Raw genomic sequence first — 18,166 nt, forward strand, 5'->3', positions numbered from 1 at the left:
CATTTACCATTTATTCTCTCTGAAGCTGCTACCTGGAGGCTTCATCTACACACCAAGAACCTTGGCTTCCACAACACCCTTAATCTTAAAGCATTTCATTCTACCCATTGCAACTTTTTAGGCAAAGCTTAACTCTTTCAGTCTTTGAATCCACATGTGACCTGTAACCAACCCCTCCCACCCCTGTCAGCTTCAAGACATTTTTCCTTTCTGGACCAAACCAATGTATACCTTCCATTTATTGATTTATTCGTTTGTCTGTAACTTCTGTCTCCCTCAAATGTATAAAATCAAGTGGTAACTCAGCCACCTTGGACAGCAGTTCTCAGGACCTCCTGAGGCTGTGTCACAGGCTGTGGTCACTTAGATTAGGCTCAGAATAAACTTCTTCAAATATTTTACAGAATTTGGCTTTTTTTTAATCAAGATTGGAAGTGCAGTTTCTGGAGTTCTTTGTGTCTTTAAAGGGTTGTTTGATTTCAGGTATGACCTGCTGTCTTATCAATGACCCACCTCAGAGCCTGCATGCTCTTTTCGGGGTTCACAAAGAAGAAACACGTTTGTTGTTTTTGTTTCTCTTCTTATTCAAAATGACACAATCAGCAGAAGGTGTTGAGTGCTGACACTGCCTCAGAAGTGAGGTGAGGGGTGCGGCTACCCTGAGGTCAGAAAGGGCATTTGGTGTAGAAAGTTAACAGCAGGTGTTCAGAACCCTGCCTCAGAAGTGAGGTGAGGGGTGCGGCCGCCCTGAGGGACACTCCCAGCATTAGAAAGGGCATTTGGTGTAGAACGTTAACAGCAGGGGCTCAGAGATAACCCACCACATGTTTTCTTATAGGAGGGTGTCACTTTTCCTGGGTACATTTTGTCTGCCCATCTGCAATTCAGAGAATCAGGAACATTGTATTAATAAGGTAGAGGGAATCAAAAATTATTTGGGCAAACGGGAGTAGCTCTGCTTGAGTGCACTTGAGGAGGCGGTTGGGGAGGAGGGGAAGTGACAGTTCATCTCCTTGTGGCCACAGACTGCAGTCACTGGCGTAGAAGCCAAGAGGGGGGTGTCAAAGTTTCTGATCAGGCTTAATTAAAAAAAGAAAAAAAGGCCGGGCATGGTGGCCACTTTGGGAGGCCGAGGTGGGTGGATCACCTGAGGTCAGGAGTTTGAGACCAGCCTGGCCAACATAGTGAAACCCTGTCTCTAGTAAAAATACAAAAATTATTCGGGCGTGTTGGTGGGTGCCTGTAATCCCAGCTACTAGGGAGGCTGAGGCAGGAGAATTGCTTGAATCCAGAAGGTGGAGGTTGCAGTGAGCCAAAATTTCACCATTGCACTCCAGCCTGAGCAACAAGAGCACAAGTCCATCTCAAAAATCAAAAAAGAAAAAAAACAAAAGATACAATGTCCAAACAGTTTCATGAATTTAGATAAGTGAAAAAGCATAAAGCTTTCCTATATCATTGTCATTTTAATTATTTATTCATTGGTTTTCAATTTCTCAGTAAATTATTGGCTCTGTATTCAATTTTAACGAAAAGAAATATCACTTGCTAGAGCAGTGATCCTCAACTCTCAATACAATAAGAACCCCTAGGAGGTTCAGAAACATGTGGACAGATGCTGAGACCCTCACAGAGAAATCTCAGTGCAATTGGTTTGATGGGCAGCCTCTGCATAGGTAGTTCTTTTTATTTTTATTTTCATTTTATAGAGATGAGGGTTCTCCATGTTGCCCAGGCTGGTCTTGAACTCCTGGGCTCAAGCAATCCTCCCACCTCGGCCTCCCACAGTGCTGGGATTACAGGCATGAGCCACTGTGCCCAGCCAGACACAGGTAGTTCCTAAAATCTTCTCGAGTTTGAGGGTGTCTGCTACAGAGGTGACCCAAATCTTATGATTGGCGTTTCCAAAATTTAGTGGAAGCTTTAATTGGATCAAGGAGACATTTCCATTTTCAAGCTAAGAGAGTTAGTAAGCGCTCACCTTAATAACACACAATTTGTTGTATAGTTTGGTTTTAAAACCGGGCAAAAATCATCCATAGGAACATGAATTGGTGTAGGTATTTGCAATAAGTAATGACCATTTTTATGGTTTTTGTATCAAAAAAATGATGATTTGAAGACTGAGCTCTCAGCTCTACTAGCAGAAGGGTAAGTGTCAGTATCGAGGCTGGTTTTGAATTATAGCTGAGCCAAAAGCATCTGAAAGCAATGCGTTCTTTTTCTTCTCTTCTCTAACTTAAAACTGGACTGAATTTTTTCATAGTTGGTAAAATGAATGCTTGGAGTCTTCAACCCAGAGCTCCAAGCAGGAGTCCAGCCAGAGTGCGTTTTTAGAACTGATTTATTAGCCCCATAAGGCCACCTGAGATCTTTGTGGTTTGCAACGTCCTATTTTTTTTTCCTGAATTACTTTGTATCTGACTTAGACAGTTACGGGTTTTAGCATGGGATTTTGCATACAGATTGGCCACTGCTTTGAAAGCTCTTCTATGATGCATATTTCATGATGAGTATCCTCAAACCTCAAACCTCTCTGGAAAAAAAAAAAAAGTCCTGTACCTTTTCGGTTTGATTATTAAACTGGAGATAGACAAATTACAGGAGCTGTCCCTCAATTTAATGAGAAGCCCTTAAAAAACAAAACTTGGAATAATTGAAAATGGCATTGAACAATAAATAACTTAATAAAGTAGAAAATGTCTAATATTTAACTACAGCTATTTGATGAGAACATTTCAGAAAGAATGACTTTAAAAATTGAAATGAGAAATCACCTCATGTCGGGAGACACCATAGACGCACATTATTTTTCTTGATGTGGGAGACTGTGAGAACTCCTACAGGAGTTAAATCTGATGAGAACAATGTCTTTAGCTTAGCCCCGATCGTGGAAATAAGCTCTGCCCAGGAGCGAAGCGCTAAGGACCAAGCCACGTGGGTCAGGAAGGGGAGAATCTGGGGTCCAGACCTGAACCATTACTCTTAAACGCTGGCCCCTGTTTTATTGGTGGACAACTAATCCGTGTCCCATAAATCTGAGGACATTTAATCCCAATAATCCCTCTCCCAGTTCTATTTTTGCCTACGATCCCCAAAGCGGATATTCCTGTCCTTTCAGGGTACACCATGGAAAGGCTGATAGCTGCAGACTTTATCACCTTTCTGATCTTGTGTTCGTCTCTGCCTGGTACTCTCTGTCTAAGAGACGACATCACCAAGGGCCTAGTTTCTCTATTCACAAGCCAAAGGACCCCTGAAGCCCCCCTCCCCTTCATTTTCCCACATGAACTCATCAGCGAGGACTTGGATTCTCAAGAATGCTCCAAATGTGCATTTTTCTCTGTACAGCCAGCCTGGCCTCCATTATCCCTGACCTTGATTCCATCCCTGGTCTCCTAAGCTCTGCCCTCCTTACCGGCCTGCAAGCTTTTGGGATTCTCTACAGTGCAGACAGAAGGACATTTTTAAATTTAAATCTCATTCAGTCCTTGCCAGTGGTCCCACTGCCACCAGCGTGGAGGCCCATCTCCTCTATATGGCTCCCTACCCCTGCGGACCTCCTGTGTTTTCCTGCTGTCTCCTTCAACATCATCACCGTCCGCACCTTGCTCTCTCTCCTTAGCCATATTTAACTTGCAGGTTCTCTAATCTACTTCACTCTGTTTTATGGTTAGAGCTCTGGACTTTCCATTTCCATGTGAAATATTTGCTTTACTCTTTCTCTGGGTAACTCTTTCTCATCCTTTGGAACCCAGCTCAAAAACATCACCTCCTCCAGGAAGTCCTTCTTCTCTGAGTCAGATGTCCTCCCAAGACTGCACATCCCACCATCATATCTGGCACGATTTACACCTCATCCAGAAATATTTGCACCATTCCTGTCTCATCCAGATTGCAAACTTCTTGAGACGAGAGATGCATGTCCTTTTTGGACCCTCGCTGCCGCAGGATTCATCCGATCAGCCTGTGAAAAACCCACCCTCCTGTCTTGGTACACAAAGCTTGGTGCTACTGCAGTGAGATTGTGGAGAAGGTGTACCATAAGCAGTTAATTCTCCCCATAGCTTTTAGTGTGTTCACTGCGACTCATGAAACCACCTTTGCAAAGATGATGGCAGTGAAGAGAAGCCTAGTGTGTCCCACTCCACCTGGCTTCCGCCTCACAGGCTGGCTGGCCTTGCTCATTTGCGGACATAGGCCAAGCTAATTATGGGAGGAATGTAGTTTACCATTTCACTTGCAAACAAGGATGGCCATAGTCCCTCCCTAAAACAGATCCCTCCTTGGTCAGGGACGGAAACTAATGGAAGGCCACAAGATCAGGATTATGGGAGGGGCCTGGGCTCTGCTAAACGTGGGCATAGTTTCTAGAATCCCTTACTGCTCAGGAGTCATGTGGCCAGAGCTCACAAGATTTGTGACTTCTCCGGTTGCTCCTATAGATAACATCACTGTTGCAGGACCTAAGATTTGTCTTTGGAGATGTTTTTCAGACTTTTTCATTCTGGCAACCAATGGACCCCATCCACATCCATGACTCACGACTCAACCAGTCCTGTGGCCCCCACCCAGAGGCCGACTCAGCCCACGAGACCCTCTCTCCACCCCCTCACGACTGCATCCCTAAACAGTCAGCAGCACCCAGTTCCTAGCCCCTTGCCACCAAATTATCCATAAACACCCTAGCCTCTGAGCCCTCAAGGAGGCTGATGTCAGTAATAAATCCCGTCTCTTGAGTGGCTTGCCTAGCATTAATTACTCTTTCTTGACTGTAATACCAGGGTCTCAGTGAATTTGTCTGTGTGGTGGGCAGGAAGAACCTGTCGGACAATCACACCCAGCTTTCAATGTACATTAGATATTTTCTTCTTTTACCTGTTCCCTCTCAGAATCCCAAGGATTCAAGGGTTTGATTGGAAGCATTTCTGGGATAAATGTGTGTGTATGTGATTTCATGCTTCCAGATTCTTACAATAATCACGTGGTATACAGATGCAGACCAAGTATCAAATATCTTAAAAACTTAGGCTTGTTCATAGTAGCATTATTCACAATAACTAAAACATGGAAGCAATCCAGTGTCCACTGTTGGGTAAATGCATGAGTGAAATACAGTCTACGCATACAATGAATTTTTTTTAAACACAGGGTCTCACCCTGTTGCCCAGTTGCTGGAGTGAAGGGTGTCATCATGGCTCACTGAAGCCTTGACTTCCTGGGCTCAACCAACCCTCCCAGCTCAACCTGAATATCTGGGACATGAGGTGTGTACCACCATGCCCAGCTAATTTTTTTGCTTTTTGTAGAGTTGGCATCTTACTATGTTGCCCAGGATGGTCTTAAACTCCTGAGTTCAAGGGACTCTCTCACTTCAGCTTCCCAAAGTACTGAAATTACAGGCATGAGTCACCACCCCTAGCATAAGGGAATGTTATTCAGCTTCATAAAAAAAAAAAAGGAAATTCTGACCCATGTTACAACATGGCAGAACCTTGAAGACATTGTGTTAAGTCAAATAAGCCAGTCACAAATGGACAACTACTGTATGATCCCACTTATATTAGGTCCCTAAAGTCATCAGATTTATAGAGACAGGAAGCAGAATGGGAGTGACGTGTGGCAGGAGGTGGGGAGAACGGGGAGTTACTGTTTAATGGTAAGAGTTTGGTTTTGCAAAATGAAAAGGTTCTGTAGATGGATGTTGGTGATGGTTGCACAGCAATGTCTTTAGTGCCACTGAATTGTGCACTTACAGTGATTAAAACGGTATATTCTGTGTTCGTGTATTTTGTCACAATAAACAAATAAACCCTGGTTTGGACTCTCCCAGGTCTGCCTGGACATTCTTTGTAGCCAAGTCCTGAGGCTGATGCCAAGGAGGTGGTGACAACCATGAGTTTGCTGAGAAAAGTGTGGAATCCCTGGTTTCCACAGGCTTTTGCCAACACACCTGACTCTTTGTTTGAGAGCTACCATCATTCTGGAGGCAATTTCTTCTTTAATTTACTGTCTTTGGATAATTTTGAAAGGGTCACAGAGCTGCAGCATCTTTCAATCTAGCATTCTGTTTTCTCAGTGATTACTCGTGATAGCAGATTGGAGAGCTCGGCATTTCTCTGAACTCCTCATTGCGTCTCTAGCTCTGATTATGTCACCACTTGATGTAACTGCATTGCCTGAATTGAGTCAGAATTTAGATATATTGTTAGATTTCCTACGTCTGTTGTATTTTTGCATGAAAGTCTCTCTTTTCTGACCTATCACTGGACTCTGTTTTAAAACCAAACACTAATTCTGGGGAATCTAAAAAATTTGAACACATAAAACTAAGCAACCATTAGAATTCACTTTGAAGTATATATGGCACTGATTTTTTTTTCAACACAATTGTTAGCAACACTTGTTAAAAACACAAGAAAATATCTCATGAAAATGTAACTGAGTATTCAGTTGAAAAGAATACATTTTACTCAAAGAGTAATGGGATTAAATGTTGGGGTTTGGGAGATTAGAAGTGGAATCGAGTCATATTTTGGGAGAAATCTGGCAGCAGAGATAAATTAGTGCTGACAAGAAAGATAAAAGTGGAAAGGAAGACATTCCCTGTGGTGTTGAACACATGGAGAAGTCGGCCTGCTGTGCCCGCAAGTACAGCACAAATTTCACCCCATGTGTTTCCATGTGTTTTATTTTAGAGGAAACACAGAATTGAACTGTCTGTTGTTTAAAGCAATGAATGACATGCTAAATTATAGAATTGGGGCATTTTTATTAAAACTATTTCTGAGAAACCAAAACATTTGTTTCTGGAGATTTTCCACAAGCCTGTTATCTGTGTTACCGTAATATTTAGTGACACCGGGCCCCTCGATGGATGGCCAGTCTTCATGGTTGACAGCCTCCCTTCTATAGGTACTTTCTGTGGGACCGCATGGCTGCCAGTTACCACCTTCTCCTCCGAGGTCTCACTTGGAAAATCAGACCTGTTTTGTGAAAAAGGTCAAGTGGCTCCTTTGAACAGCTTTGTCTACGGTAGATGTTTCAGCTGAACGTGAGTTGAGATACGGCCTCTGTGACTCTTTAAAAACAACTGCACCAGCCTAGCAAGGTTGAAACTGACCGATTGTTCTTGGCAAGGTCTGCAGCCCAGGGTCTAAAGGAGTCAACGGGAAATGTCCTTCTCTTGCCATCCCCCAAAGTTTAACATCTCTCTTAAGACTTGATTTTGAATTTTGTGGTGTTACATTTTATTTCTCTAAAATGAACATTAGAGGCTAGGCACGGTGGCTCACACCTGTAATCCCAGCACTTTCAGAGGCCAAGGTGGACAGATGGCTTGAGGCCAGGAGTTTGAGACCAGACTGGCCAACGTGGCAAAACCCTGTCCCTACAAAAAATACAAAAATTAGCTGGGTGTGGTGGCACGTGCCTATAATCCCAGCTACTTGGGAGGCTGAGGCAGGAGAATTGCTTGAGCCTAGGATGCAAAGGTTGCAGTGAGCCAAGATTGCACCACTGCACTCCAGCCTGGGTGACAGAGGGAGACTCCATCTCAAAAATAAACAAACAAATAAATACATAAACAAATGGAATGAACATTAGAATCTCTTTCTTATCAGTTTATTCAATATAGTGCTCCTCCTGCATTTAGATCTTGAGCTTACAGCATATTTTAAATTTTTGCTATATTAATAAAAAACATCTTGGGACTACCTTTTACATTTTTCCTAGATGTGAAACTTTTCCTATGATTAATGTGTATTTTTTATTTAATTTTTCAACTTCATGGGATTCTGCAAAATTCTTATGAGGATCCCTATTTCCTAGAAGACCATACTAAACTGAGATTAAAGGCAGAATTTTCAGAACATAAACCGTGTGTTTTACAGAAACATTCTAGTATTATAGGAACTTCTTATTCCTGTTCTCATCACACAAATTAATGGTGTATATTGTCCTCATGATCTTTCTGCACATTTTATCTGCGTCATGTAACAGCCACGGGATGCCATTGTTCATGAAATAGGAAGTTCTTAACCTCAAAGCATCTTAATGAAAGGTTGGCAGAGGCTGCAAGGCCGCTACAACTGACCGACAATGTGCATCTCATTTTTATGTTTTGACTTTATGTGGGGAGCTTTCAGTTAACTGTGATGAGCTCCAACCTGCCTCAGAAGAAGTAACTACAAGGTAATTCAGCTCGGTACCATCTGCTTAGTTTCCGGCAGATTATCTTGGCCTAGGAAACTTTTACGTTTGCTGTTACAGAAGTTTTTTTCACAACGATACAATTGAAGTAATCATTCCTTTTTTCTGTTGCAATTTCAGTGTTTCTATTGTTCAATGTTTTGGGGTTCGTCCCATCTGCACAGGGTGGCCCATGGTGATGCTATGTGGATGTGCGTTGAGTAAGTTGATTAAGAGGTTTAGATACCAAAGTAGAATTTCATGTTTTTATATTTTTTCTTTAACTATAGTAATAGAAAGGCTAAATAGAAAGACACTTTAAACAGAACATGTGCCATGAACGTGCTATTTAAATAGAGCATTTAAATAGAACATTTCTTTAAATAGAATATTTAATATTCTAATTTACATATTTAATATTTAAGTAGAAAAATATTCTTTGAATGGAACATTTGTCATGAAAGGCTAAATAGAGACACTTTAGGTAGAACGTTTGTCATGAATGTGCCTTGTTTATGAAGCTGAGCTGAGAGGGGCTGTGCACTTGGCCAGAGACTCTTCTTCCAGTGATTAATAGAATCTTTCATACCTGGGAAAACCTGAGGTGTATTAAAGGAGTTCTTGTTCTTAAAGAGTGATCATATCGTACAGAGATATTTTAACACATAATTATGTTCACACAGGTACTTAAACATCAAAAGCAATCAGGAAATCTCTGCTGAAATGCAAAGGAAATGACATAAAGTTGCAAATAACACCATATGCAATAAAATGTTGTATATTTTATTCTGAGTCACCTAGACCATGCGAAGATTTAAAATGGATTAAAGACAGACATTGTGTCAAACCTGGTAAAGATTTCGTGACAGATGACCTTGAGCTTTACAACATTCACCTAGAATCGTCATTTATATAACGTGGGCAAAGACAGATCTCCTTAAATTCATTCTAAATCTTTTGCAACATCTTTGAAAATCTACTTCTAATAAAAACTCAGTTTAAAACTATGCCATTTTATGCTAAATTAATTGTGATTTTTTTTTTTTTTTTTTTTTTTTTTTTGAGACAGTGTCTTGCTTTGTCGCCCAGGCTGGAGTGCAGTGGCGCGATCTCGGTTCACTGCAAGCTGTGCTCCCCGGGTTCACGCCATTCTCCTGCCTCAGCTTCCCGAGTAGCTGGGACTACAGGTGCCTGCCACCACACCTGGCGAATTTTTTGTATTTTTGGTAGAGATGGGGTGTCACTGTGTTAGCCAGGATGGTCTCAGTCTCCTGACCTTGTGATCCACCCTCCTTGGCCTCCCAAAGTGCTGGGATTACAGGCCTGAGCCACCGTGCCCAGCCTAATTTTGATATTTCTTAAAACAAAGTTTTTAAGATACTAGAGTGCCCCATTGATAGTATTTATTTTTATTTTTTATTTTTTTTGAGAAACAGTTTTGGTCTGTCGCCCAGGCTGGAGTGCAGTGACATGATCTCGGTTCACTGCGACCCCTGCCTCCTGGGTTCAAGCGATTCTCTGGCATCAGCCTCCTGAGTAGTTGGGATTGCAGGTACCCACCACCATGCCGGGCTAATTTTTGTATTTTTAGTAGAGACAGGGTTTCACCATGTTGGCCAGGCTGGTCTCGAACTCCTGACCTCAGGTGATCTACCCACCCTGGCCTCTGAAAGTGCTGGGATTATAGGTGTGAGCCACCGCTTCCAGCCCAGTATTTTTAAAATATGAAGAAAAATGTCAAGTTCTATCTTTATGTGTTTTACAAAAGAGCAAAACAAAAATAAAAATTCTGAGTGTCTTTTCATGGTGACTTAGAAGAATTCTGTGAATGTCTGGCCTGTGCATATTTTTGTCCAACTAAAATTATAATCATTTAAAACATACAGATCATTATTTTCTTGAAAAAGGGTACACACGTGGAGGAAAAGTGCCTTCTGTATAACTTGATAGGGTGTTTTGTAATCTTCTAAATTTTCAAGGCTGTACATTTATGTCACGTTTCCATTAGGTGGCACTGTGCTAATAGTGATAGAGCAAGTTCTCTCAGAGCTCATATAAGCTTTTTTTTTTTTTTTCTCAAGTCTCACTTTATTTCATTAGTTTCTAAAATGCTGTTACTTAAGATATTTGGGTGGTTTTATGGCTCGGGGTGCCAGAGAAGCAGATGCTGTTTTCGCCGTTAGTCTTAGGATCCGGAATCAGCAGCCCCGGACACCTGAGACAGGGGGTGCGGGCCGTGTCCCCTCCACAGGTGGAGACAGTCAGGTTCGGCTTGAAAGAGGAATTCCCCGAGGGAGTGAGCCAAGAAGGACGATTGGCTGTCTTGTCACAGAGGCAGCAGGGCTTCAGGAAGGTCCTGAGGGAGAATGAAGGGTTCTGTGGTCTCTAACACAGCCCCTGGCTGAGATCGCCGTCCTCTCATTCCACCCTGGTCTGCTGGTTGGGACCACGGGCAGCGAGTCCACGGCAGGACTCCCGAGCAGTGGCTGTCGCCGGTCACCCCGGACGGCTCAGGGCAACACGGACCGTGGCGCCCCAGGAAAGGCGCCCACAGCCACAGCCAGCCTGGATGGGGCCCCTGGAGCGTGGGGTCTCGAACACCACCCGTCAGGGCTGAAGCCCACTTCCCTCAAAGGTGACAAGTGTGGCCGAGAGTCACAGAGCCTCAGGCCGAAGAGATGGTGCTGTCACTGGGGACGCACCGTACAAACACACATGGTAATCCACTGCGTTGAGCGCCTGTCTCAAAGGCGTGATAGAGTTTCCGCTTCGGCCTGCGGTGCTGTGGGATTAACCTGATTAATATCGTCCATTGCATGTGATTTTCGATGCAGGAGAAAATGTTATTTTGCCTAAAGATGTAAATATATAAAAATAGCCAAATCAGAGACAGGGACTTGAATTCTGGGTCATTTTAAATACTAGTTAAAAGCTTTAAATGGCTAAACGTATTTTTAATACTGGGTCTCATTTATGTATTTATTTATTGCATATGGAATGATCTTGCTTAGATATCTATTTGGCACTTATTTAAATAATCTATTTGTTCGTTAAATATATGTTCCATAATAGGAAGCTTATTAAAAGAGTTTACTATAGTCATTAGGTCTGCAAAAGACATAAAAATAATAGTTTGTCTATAGTAGATAAAATACTAAGAATAATTTCACCTTTCTCCTACAAAATAATCCATCTAAAACCCAAGTATAGGCCGGGCTCAGTGGCTCATGCCTGTAATCCCAGCACTTTGGGAGGCCGAGGTGGGCGGATCACCTGAGGTCAGGAGTTCGAGACCAGCTTGAGCAATATGGTGAAACCCCGTCTCTACTAAAATTACAAAAAGTAGCTGGGCGTGGTGGTGGGCATCTGTAGTACCAGCTACTTGGGAGGCTGGGGCAGGAGAATCGCTTGAAGCCAGGAGGCGGAGGTTGCAGTGAGCCGAGATCGCGCCCTTACACTCCAGCCCGGGCGACAGTGCGAGACTCCGTCTCAAAACAAAAAACAAAAAACAAACAAAAAAACCCCCAAAAAATCAAAACCCCAGAATGGTAGCTATTTCATGTGAGTGAGCATGGGGAACCCCCGATGTCTCTGGGTCATGAAACCACAAGAATGAAAGGGCTGGGAAGGCCCCCGGCAGCCCCCATGTGCGTGAGTTAGGGCACCCAGCTCTTCCGGAAGGTAACTCAGGCTGTGAGAACCCAGGGAACAAGTCAGCATCGGGGTGAACCAGAAGCCCCCTTGGATCCAGAGTCATTTTGGAACGTGAGCCCTGCCCTTTGCCAGGGATGTAGAAGGAGTTCTGGGGTGTTTCGCGAGTGTGGTGTCGTCACACCCTGGGTGCTGGATGGGCATCCTCATTGTCAGCTCGGCAGTGACCAGGCAGATAGAGCCACACGTTCTCATCAGGAACCTCTTCATTGTCTTGGGCTGGGCTACAGGATTCCTCACAGAGAAGTCAAGTCGCCAGTGGCTCTCTTTCCAGTGACTGCCCATTTCTCCGTTCCATACATATTTTCCAGACATGGTGTGTGCACGGATGGGCTGGAAGCTGCAGGACTTTCAGTCTGGTTTGTCCTGCAGCTAAAAGACCACAGACATGTGGCAACTGGCCCCGTCCCCAACTCACTGCCTCGGAACCTGCATTTCTGTCGGTTCTCCTGGCCGCTCACATGCACGGTACAGCCTGAGGAGCCCTGTCTGGAGTGTGTTATTGCAACCTGCCAATCCTTAGTGCCAAGGAAGGGGCAAATGTCACTTGCAAAGCTGCAATTTTCTCTGCTTATCTCTTTTTGAGGATAAAATAGGTGAAGGCCATGGCAGCAGGGAGAAGGCTTATGGTTTATAGCTAATTCACCCGGGGAAAGTAAAAGTGCATTCTGTAATTAATCACATCTCCAGTTTGCCCATTATCCTGATCCTTCTCCTCAGATTCCTCTATAGCCCCTGGCCTGTCCATTTTGTGGCTCCTTAACTACCAGGTCAGAGGTAGATGAGATGAAGAAGGGAGATGAGAGGCATTCAGATCGACCCGTTTTATTATTTCCTTGGAGGCTCTTGGAGACTGCTTGATGAGTGAATGCTGAGAATAATGGGTGGAATGCATTAGCGGGTGGCTCGTGCCATGATTAATCTGATTCCTGTCCCATTAATGCTACTAATTGGCTACCCCAAGAAGAAAATGTCCCTCAGCTTCAGGGTGTGGGAAAGCGACGCTACCATGTTGTTAGTAGCCGAGATCATTAACTGTTGCCTTTTTTATTTGCCTTTTCTCGAACCAACCAGACCAACGACATTGCTGTGAACACCTCTGTAGAATTAGCTTCGGCTTGGGCTCTCGGAATCAGCCGTTACTCCCCCAACAATAATCTTTTGGAAATCCCCAAAGCCTCTGTAATTATGGAATTTGACGAAGGCTCTGTTGTGGATTTTGTTTCTTCTCTCTTCTCTCTCCCATTCCTATCCCTGTCAGTGCCCGGAAAAGCCGAAAGGATCCAGGAAAACACTGCAGGAGAACACTGGTAAAGTGGTCCTCAGTGAGGGCAGCTCAGGAGCTTGGAGCAGGAGGGAGAGCTCCCCTGACTCATCACAGCACAGGGCACTGGAACCCCAGGAACAGTGCTCAGTTCCTTCCACGGGAGCTCACGTGGAAAATAATCTCACCATGCCAGCTGCAGTTCTCAGACCCTCTGATCCATAACCCAGCACGGCGGGGCGTGGTAGCCTCACAGTGTTTGTTTTAAATTGTGCCATCCTTGGATTCCCCATTTTGGTCTCCGTCCTCCTACTCTCTCCCTGCTTCAGACAGAGGTGTCAGACAAAAGGGCTCAACTTGGTATCACTGGAAACCCGGCCAGTAGCTCATCAGCTCGTCTTCCAGGCAGGTTGCTGCGATCCTGGCAGGCCTGACGGTGAGGCCTGTGAGCTGGAATGAGCTGCGCTGAGAAACTGACCTCTCCAGTGGGCAGGATGGAGCCACCCATTGAGGCTGAAGACTCGTGTGTGTTCTCATGATCCGATGACCCAGGGAAAAAATAAAACCAAATCAAACCAACCAACCCTGTCTGCCAGGAGGACAGAAAGAATGCCCCAAATTTACTATTTTACTTTTATTTTTTGAGACATGGTCTCGCTCTGTCACCCAGGCTGGAGGGCAGTGGCACCGTCATGGCTCACTGCAGCCTCAACCTCCTGGGCTCAAGTGACCCTTTGCCTCAGTCCCCTGAGTAGCTGGGACTACAGGTGTGTGCCACCACACGCGGCTAATTTTTTGTATTTTTTGTACAGATGGGATTTTGTCTTGTTACCTAAGCTGGTCTTGATCTCCTGGCTTCGATCTGCCTGCCTCAGACTGCCAGAGTGCTGAGATTACAGGTATGAGCCACCGTGCCTGGTCAGAATGTCCCAAATTTATTTAAGGAAAGAATCAGTTTGGCATTTTTTTAAAAAATTGGTGCAGGAAAATACACACGTTGGGTATGACACCTTTAAAGCTGGATATTTTTCTCTGTCTTGTCTCAGGTGTCTTTCAGATGTCCCTTTATTGTCTAAACTTCTGACGACTTGTGCTCAGTGTCTGGCAATCTTGAGAACTCTTCTCTGCGTGCAAAGTCGCATATTTTTAACACAAAGGAAATGAGCAATCTTTTGGGATGCTTTTATGGGTATCTAAAAAGTCCATTATTTTGCCTGTTTTGATGTCCTTATCAGGAACACAAAGCAGAAACAACTTCCTAAACAAATCTCAGCTACTTGAGACGTCGTATGTTCTATCTTTTCACACTTCTTTTTTGTTAGCTACATTATATCTTATAGCAAATTCATTTCTTGGCCCTTTGTTCACAGAGCAATGCAGAACATCTTAGTCCCTGTGATAATAATAGTAATTATCAGTTATGCAGAGCCTTGCCTCGCCAAAGCCCTTGGCAATCATCAATTAGCTAATTCAAACAGCATCCCTGTGAGAGGACTGCTCTTGAGAATATTATAATGCACAACCATTATGTGCTGACCTTTGACTTTGCTGTGAGAAGGACCAGGTTGACGGCTGAATTTAAAGGCTGGTATAATTTCCATTCATCCTAGTGGATGCTTCAGTGAGTGCATCTTTTCAAGTTAAATATAGTTAATAAATACACATTTTGAAGTGGTTTATATACATTTCTGTGCCTTCGTAACCAAACAGGTCTTATTTCTCCTGCATCAATGCACACTTTGTCTTACCCATTTTACGTTGCAAATGTATATTCCAGGAACATTTCCTAAGTGCCTATTTTGAGCCAGCACAATGCTGGCCTAGGACCTCTGAATACAAATATAGGAGAAACACAATTCTGTTTTCAAGAAATTCACGCGCTAGTTTTGAGACGCATAGACCAATGGTCATAATACAACCTATGCGATCCACACAAAAGTTAAGTAAAAAGCGCAGTGGGGACTCTGGGGTGTGATCAGTAGGACATCACATGTTCACGTCAAGAGGGTGGGTCGTGTTCACTGTGCCCTCTGATGCCACCAGAAGGCAACAGAAGTAAATAACACATCAAAACTCAGAGGCCCAATAGAGCAGGGCTTATATGAGAATTTTACGCATTAGAAACAAATATGAGAACAGAAAAAAGTTGAAAGTTAATGAGTGAAGTGCACACCTTCAGATGTAAGAAAAAGAGCAAGACCCAACCTCATAAAAGTTGGAAGAAGGCAACAGTAATGACAAAGGCCTTAAAGCTTCATCAATAGCAGAGGTAAAGCAAAGCCTTAACAGAGCCAGAAGTTTTTAAAACGACCGACGAAAGGAGCATGATTTTGGCAACTTTGATCGAGATGAGAAAGGGAAAGGAAAATTGGTGATATTAGAGAATAACATGTTGGCATAATCGCAATTGTATGAGATATCAAAATTAGAAAATATGAAAAATTTTGTTAGTTTTTAGTAATCCAAGATAAAATGGAATACTCTATAAATCTCAGATAAAATGCAAATCTTATAAAAGTAGAAAAATTATTAAATAGTATATTTTGCCAAAAGTGAATTAAGAATGTAGAGGTCTGAATAATTTTCTCAAGGAAATTGAGTTAGTAGTTTAAAAGATTGCCACAGGGATTTTCCAGCCCCAGATAAGTTTACAGGTGAGTGCTAGCACTCAGATAATTACATGGATGACTTCTGCCAAGATTCTAAAGACAGTTTGTGTGAGTCTGTTCTCACATTGCTATAAAGAAATACCCGAAACTGGGTAATTCACAAAGAAAGGAGGTTTAACTGACTCACAGTTCCACCTGCCTGAGGAAGCCTCAGGAAACTTACAATCATGGTGAAAGGCACATCTTCACAGGGTGGCAGGAGAGAGAAGGAGTGCCAGCAGGGGAAATGCCAGATGCTTATAAAACCATCAGATCTCTTGAGAACTCACTCACTATCACGAGAACAGCATGGGGGAAACGGCCCCCAGGATTCAATTACCTCCCACCACGTCCTCCTATGACATGTGGGGTTTATGGGGAATACAATTCAAGATGAGATTTGGGTGGGGACACAGCCAAAGGATATCACAGTTCCAATTTTACACAAGTGGAAAAACAAAACAGAATAGAAGGAGGGGGCATTTTATTCACCTAATTTAATGAGCAGTGCAATCTCGATGCCAAAGTCACAGGACAGTAGTAGAAAAGAAAATGGCAGGACAATCTCAATGATATGTGCAATTCCAAAACCAAAAGCATAGTGTTAGCAAAGGGAAGTCAACATCATTTTACAGATATGCACATTTCCAAGTCAGTTTGGTTCTCTACTGCAAAGATGGAGGAGTAGTAGAAAACATTTAAATGTTATTCAGCTCAATAACAGATTAAAGAGAAAATGTGATTATCTCAATTGATTCAGCAGCTTTCACTTATTATATATAATTCTATAATTTCACTTATTAATTATTAATATAATTAATAAAAGAGAGCTCTTAGTACAAGAAGACTTTCTTTTTTTTAAATTTATTATTATTATACTTTAAGTTTTAGGGTACATGTGCACATTGTGCAGGTTAGTTACATATGTATACGTGTGCCATGCCGGTGCGCTGCACCAACTAACTCGTCATCTAGCATTAGGTATATCTCCCAATGCTATCTCTCCTCTCTCCCCCGACCCCACAACAGTCCCCAGAGTGTGATGTTCCCCTTCCTGTGTCCATGTGTTCTCATTGTTCAATTCCCACCTATGAGTGAGAATATGCGGTGTTTGGTTTTTTGTTCTTGCAATAGTTTACTGAGAATGATGATTTCCAATTTCATCCATGTCCCTACAAAGCACATGAACTCATCATTTTTTATGGCTGCATAGTATTCCATAGTGTATATGTGCCACATTTTCTTAATCCAGTCTATCATTGTTGGACATTTGGATTGGTTCCAAGTCTTGGCTATTGTGAATAATGCCGCAATAAACATACATGTGCATGTGTCTTTATAGCAGCATGATTTATAGTCCTTTGGGTATATACCCAGTAATGGGGTGGCTGGGTCAAATGGTATTTCTAGTTCTAGATCCCTGAGGAATCGCCACACTGACTTCCACAATGGTTGAACTAGTTTACAGTCCCACCAACAGTGTAAAAGTGTTCCTCTTTCTCCACATCCTCTCCAGCACCTGTTGTTTCCTGACTTTTTAATGATGGCCATTCTAACTGGTGTGAGATGGTATCTCATTGTGGTTTTGATTTGCATTTCTCTGATGGCCAGTGATGGTGAGCATTTCTTCATGTGATTTTTGGCTGCATAAATGTCTTCTTTTGAGAAGTGTCTGTTCATGTCCTTCGCCCTCTTTTTGATGGAGTTGTTTGTTTTTTTCTTGTAAATTTGTTTGAGTTCATTGTAGATTCTGAATATTAGTCCTTTGTCAGATGAGTAGATTACAAAAATTTTCTCCCATTTTGTAGGTTGCCTGTTCACTCTGATGGTAGTTTCTTTTGCTGTGCAGAAGCTCCTTAGTTTAATTAGATCCCATTTGTCAATTGTGGCTTTTGTTGCCATTGCTTTTTGTGTTTTAGACATGAAGTCCTTGCCCATGCCTATGTCCTGAATGGTAATGCCTAGGTTTTCTTCTAGGGTTTTTATGGTTTTAGGTCTAACGTTTAAGTCTTTAATCCATCTTGAATTGATTTTTGTATAAGGTGTAAGGAAGGGATCCAGTTTCAGCTTTCTACATATGGCTAGCCAGTTTTCCCAGCACCATTTATTAAATAGGGAATCCTTTCCCCATTGCTTGTTTTTCTCAGGTTTGTCAAAGATCAGATAGTTGTAGATATGCGGCGTTATTTCTGAAGGCTCTGTTCTGTTCCATTGATCTATATCTCTGTTTTGGTACCAGTACCATGCTGTTTTGGTTACTGTAGCCTTGTAGTATAGTTTGAAGTCAGGTAGTGTGATGCCTCCAGCTTTGTTCTTTTGGCTTAGGATTGACTTGGCTATGCGGGCTCTTTTT

The 18,166-nt window shown here is 42.8% G+C and overlaps 2 annotated features.

Annotated features, from left to right (window-relative positions):
- Positions 299–829: an enhancer, noted in NCBI's record as "NANOG-H3K4me1 hESC enhancer chr8:2231642-2232172 (GRCh37/hg19 assembly coordinates)". NCBI's record gives its function as "activates a minimal SCP1, AML or CMV promoter by ChIP-STARR-seq in naive and primed H9 embryonic stem cells {active_cell/tissue: H9 hESC(naive and primed)}" and the evidence as "EXISTENCE:reporter gene assay evidence [ECO:0000049][PMID:30033119]".
- Positions 13,498–13,997: an enhancer, noted in NCBI's record as "H3K27ac hESC enhancer chr8:2244841-2245340 (GRCh37/hg19 assembly coordinates)". NCBI's record gives its function as "activates a minimal SCP1, AML or CMV promoter by ChIP-STARR-seq in naive H9 embryonic stem cells {active_cell/tissue: H9 hESC(naive)}" and the evidence as "EXISTENCE:reporter gene assay evidence [ECO:0000049][PMID:30033119]".

This window comes from Homo sapiens, chromosome 8 (assembly GCF_000001405.40).
Source record: "Homo sapiens chromosome 8, GRCh38.p14 Primary Assembly".
In the NCBI taxonomy this organism is placed as follows: Eukaryota; Metazoa; Chordata; class Mammalia; order Primates; family Hominidae; genus Homo; species Homo sapiens.